This window comes from Homo sapiens, chromosome 22, assembly GCF_000001405.40.
Source record: "Homo sapiens chromosome 22, GRCh38.p14 Primary Assembly".
Classification (NCBI taxonomy): Eukaryota; Metazoa; Chordata; class Mammalia; order Primates; family Hominidae; genus Homo; species Homo sapiens.
The window spans coordinates 16,745,602-16,753,875 of record NC_000022.11 but is presented as its reverse complement, the minus strand read 5'-3'; the positions used below and the strand labels follow the sequence as shown (position 1 = coordinate 16,753,875).

The 8,274-nt window shown below is 43.5% G+C and overlaps 1 long non-coding RNA gene across 1 annotated transcript, besides 1 other annotated feature; it reads left to right on the top strand.

The window, feature by feature from the left end:
* Positions 2,371 to 2,571: a silencer, noted in NCBI's record as "peak4439 fragment used in MPRA reporter construct". NCBI's record gives its function as "represses an SCP1 promoter by STARR-seq MPRAs in K562 erythroleukemia cells {active_cell/tissue: K562}" and the evidence as "EXISTENCE:reporter gene assay evidence [ECO:0000049][PMID:32103011]".
* Positions 5,438 to 7,007, top strand: LINC01665 (long intergenic non-protein coding RNA 1665). The gene is made up of 2 exons (NR_134584.1): positions 5,438 to 5,600; positions 6,137 to 7,007. It is a non-coding gene; the product is annotated as a long intergenic non-protein coding RNA 1665 (long non-coding RNA).
* The last annotated feature ends 1,267 nt before the right edge of the window (positions 7,008 to 8,274 follow it).

Genomic DNA, 8,274 nt, shown 5'->3' with positions numbered 1-8,274 from the left:
AAAATAGCAACCCAACAGAAAATTGGGAAAAGACATCAATAGGGATTTCACAAAAGAGAAAGCCCGCAAAATGTAAAAAAATTTCTCAACCTCATTAGTAATCAGGAAAATGCACAAGATACTACACATCTATTCTCCCCACAATTATTAAGAAGTTTGACAATACCAAATGTATTAGTCCACATTCATACTGCTGATAAAGACATACCTGAGACAGGGAAGAAAAAGAGGCTTAATTGGATTTAGGTTTTCACATGGTTGAGGAGGCCTCAGAGTTATGGCTGTCAGTGAACAGCACTTCTTACATGGCAGTGGCAAGAGAATATGAGAAGGAGGCAAAAGAAGCAAAAGACGAAACCCCTAATAATCCCATCAGATCTTGTGAGATTTATCCACTATCACAAGAATAGCATTGGAAAGACCAGCCCCAAAGATTCAACTACCTCCCCCTGGTTCCCTCCCCGAACAAGTGGGAATTCTGAGCAATACAATTCAAGTTGAGATGTGGGTAGGGACATAGTCAAACCATATTTTTCCACTCCTGGCCCCTCCAAATCTCATGTCCTCTCCAAACCTCATGTCCTCACATTTCAAAACCTATTATGCCTTCCCAACAGTCCCCCAAAGTCTTAACTCATTTCAGCATTAACCCAAATGTCCACTGTCCAAAGTCTCATCTGAGACAAGGCAAGTCTCTTCTGCCTATGACCCTGTAAAATCCAAATCAAGCTAGTTACTTCCTAGATACAGTGGGGGTACAGGTAATTGAGTAAATGCAGCTGTTCCAAATGGGAGAAATTGGCCAAAACAAAGGGGTTACAGGCCCCATGCAAGTCTGAAATCCAGCAAGGTAGTCAAATTTTAAAGCTCCAAAATGATCTCCGTTGACTCCATGTTTCACATCAAGATCATGCTGATGCAAGAGGTGGGCTCCCACCACCTTGGGTAGTTCTGCCTCTGTGGCTTTGCAGGGTATAGCCCACCTCCTGGCTGTTTTCATGGGCTGATGTTGAGTGACTGCAGCTTTTCCAGGCTCACAGTGCAAGCCATCAGTGAATCTACCATTCTGGGGCCTGGAGGAGAGTGGCCCTCTCCTCACAGCTCCACTAGGAAGTGCCCCAGTAGGGACTCTGTGCAGGGGCTCCAACCCCACATTTCCCTTCTGCACAGCCCTAGCAGAGGTTCTCCATCAGAGCCCCACCCCTGCAGCAAACTTCTGCTTGGACATCCAGGTATTTTCATACATCCTCTGAAATCTAGGTGGGGGTTTCCAAACCTCAATTCCTGACTTCTATGCATGTGCAGGCTCAACACCACGTGGAAGCTGCTAAGGTTTGGTGCTTGCACTCTCAAGGCCATGGCCTGAGTTCTATATTGGCCCCTTTCAGCCATGGCTGGAGGGGCTGAAACACAGAGAACCAAGGCCCTAGGCTACACACAGCACAGTCAACCTGGGCCCAGCCCAGAAAGCCATTTTTTCCTCCTAGGCCTCTGGGCGTGTGATGGGAGGGGCTGCTGTGATGACCTGTGACATGTCCTGTAGAAATTTTCCCCATTGTTTTGGGGATTAACATTCAGCTTCTCGTTACTTACGCAAATTTCTGCAGACTGCTTGAATTTATCCTCAGAAAATGGGATTTTCTTTTCTATCACATTGTCAGGCTGCAAATTTTCCAAACTTGTATGCTCTGCTTCCTTTACAAAACTGAAGGCATTTAGCATCACCCAAGTCACCTCTTGAATGCTTTACTGCTTAGAATTTTCTTCCAGCAGATAACCTAAATCATCTCTCTCAAGTTCAAAGTTCCACAAATCTCTAGGGCAGGGGCAAAATGCTGCCATTCTCTTTGCTAAAACATAATGAGAGCCACCTTTGCCCCAGTTCCCAACAAGTTCCTCATCTCCATCTGAGACCACCTCAGCCTGGACCTTATTGTTCAAAACACTATCAGCATTTTTGTCAAAGCCATTCAACAAGTCTCTAGGAAGTTCCAAAATTTCCCACCTTTTCCAGTGTTTTTCTGAGCCCTCCAAACTGTTCCAACTTCTGCCTGTTACCAAGTTTCAAAGTCACTTCTACATTTTTGGGTATCTTTTCAGCAGCACCCCACACCACTGGTATCCATTTACTGTATTAGTCCATTTTCACACTGCTGATAAAGACATACCCAAGTCTGAGAAGAAAAAGAGATGTAAAGAAAAAGAACTGCAACTGGATTTGCAGTCCCACATGGTGGGGGAGGCCTCAGAGTCATGGCAGGAGGTGAAAGGCACTTCTTAAATGGCAGCAGCAAGAGAAAATGAGGAGGAAGCCAAAGCAGAAACCCCTGATAAACCCATCAGATCTCATGAGACTTATTCACTGTCACGAGAATAGCACAGGAAAGACTGGCCTCCATCATTCAATTACCTCACCCTGGGTCCCTCCCACAACATGTGGGTATTCTGGGAGATAGAATTCAAGCTGGGATTTGGGTGTGGACACAGCCAAACCATATCACCAAATAGGGAGAGACTGTGGATCAACAAGATCATCTCAAACTAATACAGGACGTGAGTGTTTAAATGAGAACAACCACTTTAGAAAACAATTTGGATTATCTTATAAAGTTGAGCATTCTCATATGTTACGGCAAAGTAATTTCTCTACTATAGGCCCTGGAGAAACTCTTGCCCATATGTACCAGAAGTATTAAAAAAAATGCTCATGTAATGCCATTCATAATAGCAAATATATGGAAACAAGCCAGATGTTCATTGATAGGAGAATGGGTAAATTAATAGGAGAATGGGTAAATAAATTATACCCTTAAAAAACTAAATAATATGCCATTTAGGGCAATCATATATATGCAATAAAACAATGTTTTTTTAAAGGCAGGGAATCCTAAACATAAATTCAGGGTAGTAGTTACCCTGGGGCTGAAGGGTGTAAATCAGGAAAAAGGACAGAGGAGGAGCAGATGTTAGGTCAGAACCCTAGTTCTTGGGTTGTGTTGTGGGTTCACAAGTGATTACCACATTATTCAAATACATTTACATAGAGGCCCAGGCACAGACAAGGGTGAAACAGGAGCCAAGGTATGCTATGAGCCAAGGAATATGATTAATCAAATTTTGTGCACTTTAAACCATTTGAAAAACAGAAAAGCAAAACAAGAAGATAAATTTTAACAAATTGAATATAGAGTGCTATGTTCTGAATGTGTCCCCCTAAAATTAATCACAGTGTTATAGGATTAGGAAGTAGGGCCCTTAGGTAGTGATTCAGTCATGAAGGGAGAATCTTCACGAATGGGTTTAGGGTCCTTACACAAGGACTGGAGGGAGTGGGCTTCCCCTGTTTTGCCCTTCTGCCTTCTGCCATGTGAGGGCACAGTGCATCTCCTCCTGAGGACAGAGTGCACAAGGTACCATCTTGGATGCAGAGGTCAGGCCCTGACCAGACACCAATCCTGCTGGCACCTGGATCTTGGACTTCCAGCCTATGGAACTGTGAGAAATACATTTCTCTTCTTCAGAAATTACCCAGCCTAGTGTATTTTCTTATATAGTAGCACAAACTCATTAAGGCATAATGCTTCTTGTCATTTTCTTCTACAATTTTCTTTGTTGCCTCTTTAGCAGTGGGTCATTTTATATTTGATCCTTCATAATATCTCTTACTTTTGGTTTTTCACATTTCTGTTCCAAGTGTATTCTTAGATACATATTTTTCACTGTTTGTTATTATCCAGGTCAGAAAGTCCAGGATACATTTTTTTAAGGGTTTGGTTTCTGCAACAATGAAGTATTAATGCCTTCTGTAAACTAGGTATTTCCTTTCCAATTGTAACTGCCATCTGGAAGCAAAGTGGAATTACAGGCTATGAGTGTGGGGTTGATATTTAGTGTATCTAGAGTATGGTTAAATGCTGGTTTTTAATCACACGGATACATCGATTGCTTGGCACACTAGGGTATCAGTTGCTAGTTATCTCTGTATTTATCCATGCTGTTACAGAGGGAAAGTACAGACCGTGAGGTTGGACCAGCTGTCATACCCATATTTGGGGAGCTTTGATTTTTTTAACCTTCAGCTGCTTTACTGTCACACGTAGCAGCTCAGGTGAAAAGCACTTTTATTGTGGGGACTTTCCCTTAGTGCTCTGTGGGGCACAAGAGCAGACCTATGTAGAAGCATTAAGTATTTTGTGCATCAACAGGACAATTAAAGGAACAAATTCTTATTGTATCTTTTAGTCCCTGAAGACAAAACCACAGTGACAGTAACTAGGTCAAGGCATTGTATTCAGAGAGGGTCAGCCTTGGTCTTTGAGAGTGAGTCCCCTTTACCCCACTGTCAAGACTCACTGAGCAGACGGGAACGTTCAGGTGGAACATGCAGTGAATAGCAAACACGGTGGGGGGCGCTCACTGTCATGCACTGCCATGCCTGCCATGGTCAGCAGACCTCTTCTACTTGACAACAGGCAGGTTGAGAAACATTTTCTTGGAGAGTTTCTTGATTCTTGCCAGTTGTGGCAGGATGGATTGACTTAGAGGAGCTCAGGAAGGTTGTTAAACAACACAGAAACACAAGATGAATTGTACTCCTCAGCAGGCCTAGGTTAGAGCAGCAGGTGCTTGAAGCCTCAGCCACTCGTGGGACACAACATAATGCCCCTAATGATTTGAAATTTGGTGGAGAGTGGGTCACTAATCCCTGTGTCCAGGGACAAAAAGAGACATCAACAGCAAAAAGTTATAAAATAAGTGGGACTAACATCTGCTTCTTGTGGGAGGTAGGAATTTAAGATATAAGAATTTAGCTGCAGGAGCGAGCTCACACCTGTAATCTCAGCACTTGGGGAGGCCAGCGCAGGAGGACAGTTTGAGCCCAGGTGTTTGACATGAGCCAGGCAACGTAGTAAGTCCCCATTCGTACAAAAATGTTTTTGGAGAAAAGTAGTTGAGTGTGGGGGCACATGCCTGTAGTCCCAGGTACGTGGGAGGCTGAGGCAAGAAAATTGCTTCAGCCTGGGAGATTGAGGCTGCAGTGAGCTCTGATCACCACAATGCACGCCAGCCTGTGAGTCCGGAGACCCGAGCTGGCGCCTTGAAGCGGGGTCCCCTGCACCGGTAGAAGTCGGCTCAAGGAGGTTCTGAGAACAGGACTCCCGGGGGTCCGGCCCTGGAGGACCCGAAGCCCCCAGTCCCATAAACGCCCCCTACTACATCCCCACTCCAGCCGCCACTGCGACTGCCACAGAACCCCCGCCACGTGTCGCCGAACCTGTTTAAAGGGGCCACAGCCGGAGTTTGAAGAGCAAAGCAGGAGTCGGCCTGGGCAATGCGCATGCGGGAGGCACGAGCCCATTCTCCCGTGACGGTGACTCCAACGGTTGGCTGAGGACGATTCCCTGAGCCTTGACAAAGCAGGAGCCCTCCGTGGCAGTGCGTCGGGGTCGAGGCTCCAGCCTGACCAATCCAGGGGGTCGACAAAACAGATTCGGGACACCATGCTACACGCAGGGCCTACCAGGATGCAGAAACAGCAGACGGAGTCCGGGGAAAGCAGTGCGGCATCCCAGCCTCAGGCCTGCCCGTACGGTGTTCGGGTGAGTTCCCCCAAAGCCGTGCCCCCCGTGATCTCGAGGACAGGTCTGCCTGTGTGCCCAAGGACTACTGTCTCACCCGAGGGTCATTCTCCCAAAGAGCAGAAACCCGCAGCCTCAGTGATTGCCTGGGGGTTGTGTCTCTCTGCCACTGCTGTATGTCTGGGTGCCTGTGTCTCCCATTCTCTCTTCTCTCTGTCACTCACTCTCTGTTTCTCTGGCTTTCTCTGTCTCTGTGCGTGTGTGCCCGTGAGCGTGTGTGTTTCTGTGCCCAGTGCGCTACAAAGCGGTCTCTTGCATGTCAGCGTGTCTTTAGTGGGCCTCTGTCTGCGACTCTGCCTGGGTCATGTGGGCGGTTGTCAATCATTTCCACGGCGGTTCCACTTTGGCTTTCTGAAGACCTCGACAATGTGAGAAGCTTCGGTCTCAAAGAAACCGAAATTTCATCCCGATCCTGAGCTACCTCTTTTGTAGAATCAAGATGACCACACTCCAACCAAAAAAAAAAAAAAAGGTACAAGGAGCTCATTGTTTTCCAGGAGGGGAGGAGACCAATGTGAAAGGAGATGGTTATATCTCCTCGCGGCTCTTCTCTGAGAAATGAAGCCAGGATACGAAACAATCTTCAAGAAGAAGCTGAAAACCGGATATGACAAGGATGTCCCCAGAACACAGCAGGCATCCTGAAGCTCTGCCTCCTGAAGCTCCCCCTCCCTCGGTGGAAGTCGGCTCAGGGAGGTCCTGAGGACAGGACTCCTGGGGGTTTGGCTGCAGAATGAATTAATTCACTAGGACTTTATATAATTTTTCAAATCATGAAATTGCACAATCTTTTGAATATGGAATTGGGAGGCCTTTCAGTTCATTCAGTAGAAAACTGGAACATTTTTGAAGGGTGATCTGCTCGACACCTTTCAAAGAGTACAAAACCTTGTGAAGTAGCAGATGCAATGATTACCAATGTACCTTATAAAATGACTTTCAGAGTTTGAGATTAAATTGGCTTTTCTGAAATATGTAAGTCTCTGGAAAAACTCAACATTTCTAATCTTGCTTTGGAAAGCCTTTAAGTATGTAAAAATCAATTTCTTATATCTTCTCTGAAATAAACATGGAATATCCTAAGGTTTTATTCATGTTTCATGAATTTCACAGCATTCATCATATTTTCAAGTTATTTTTGATGCTTTGCATTGTATTAAAATCTCTCTTGGAATGAGAGGCCTGAAAAACAATCATAATATACTGTTGTTGTCTAACAATATATCAAGTTTTTAATGACTCTTACAATGCAATATTTTTATCATTCTTGTAGTTTATCCACATGTATTTAATATTACTAGCAGAAATTTAGATTTTAGTAAATTAATTCTGATCTTTGTAAAATAAAATGCTTTAGTTTTCAATCTATATCTATTAATTCTTTAGTCTATGAATCCATCTAACAATTATTATTGAACAAGTTCTAGGAGATAAGTACTATACAGTTGCTAAGAATTCTGAAAGATCATCTTATACCTATTATACAGAAGCAGAGCGAGACAAATGAACCAAAACTTACATAACACTGTGACATGCGTTTCAAGTTTAAACATCTTAAAAAATACATTTCATAAAACTAAAATAAAACTTGATACTTGTTTCTACTACATTTGGTTTTATATACTTAGGCATATTATTTTTGAGTCTGGTATTAAATAAGCCAACATCTGTTTGCAGTCTATATCTTCATTCATGCCTTTGATTAAAAATTGAATAAGCAAGATCTAAAGAAAAGTAACATACTGAATATGCGACTAGAAACCTCTCTCCAAGTGACCAGGCTGGGCAAAATGCTGAAATCCCATCTCTACCAAAAAATAAGATGCGGTGGTGCACCCCTGTAGCCCCAGCTATGCTGGTGGCTACTCAGGAGGCTGAGACAGGAGGCTCACTCGAGCTCAGAAGGTAGAGGCTACGGTGAGCTATGACTGCCACTGCACTCAGACTGACTGACAAAGTGAGACACTGTCTCACAAAAAAGGGAAGGAAACCTCTCTCTAAGATGAAAAAGGAGTAAGAGGGTTTTTAAGGCACACGTCCCCAGTGAGGCAGTTTGAATCAATATGAGCTTAAAATCCTTCCTAAACAATATTTACTTCACTTATATTGTTCTGTTATACAAAATCAAAGTATTCGTCTTAGAAACAATACTTACCAAATTTTCCTTTAGTATACCAACTGTGATACAATTATGCCACTTCTCTTTAATCCTGCCTAGTAATCCATGCTATCTGGTATAGTGTTCCAGTGTGCAGGCTTTGAGCCACACCATGTGGGCATGAAAATTTCCTCTGCCACTTAAAATTGGGTGACTTACTTCACCTTTCTATGCCTCAGTATGACACTAGTTGCTACCTCCTATAGTTGTGAGGATAAAATGAATGTATACAGGCAAAGCACTTAGTATTTAAATACAACTTAATTATAGTCATAATTATTACTATTACTATGATTATGGTTATTATTTGATTAACTGCCTTGATGAAAACAAAGCATAGGAAGTTGAATTAGAAAAGATTAGAATGGTGTGAAAGTTGGGTCCTGTGAAGTAAAGAGAAGAGTCATGACAATTCCTTTGGCAAGAGAAGCCTCAAAATAGAATCTGGGTTTCAAAATCTACTTCCAAAGTAGAGAG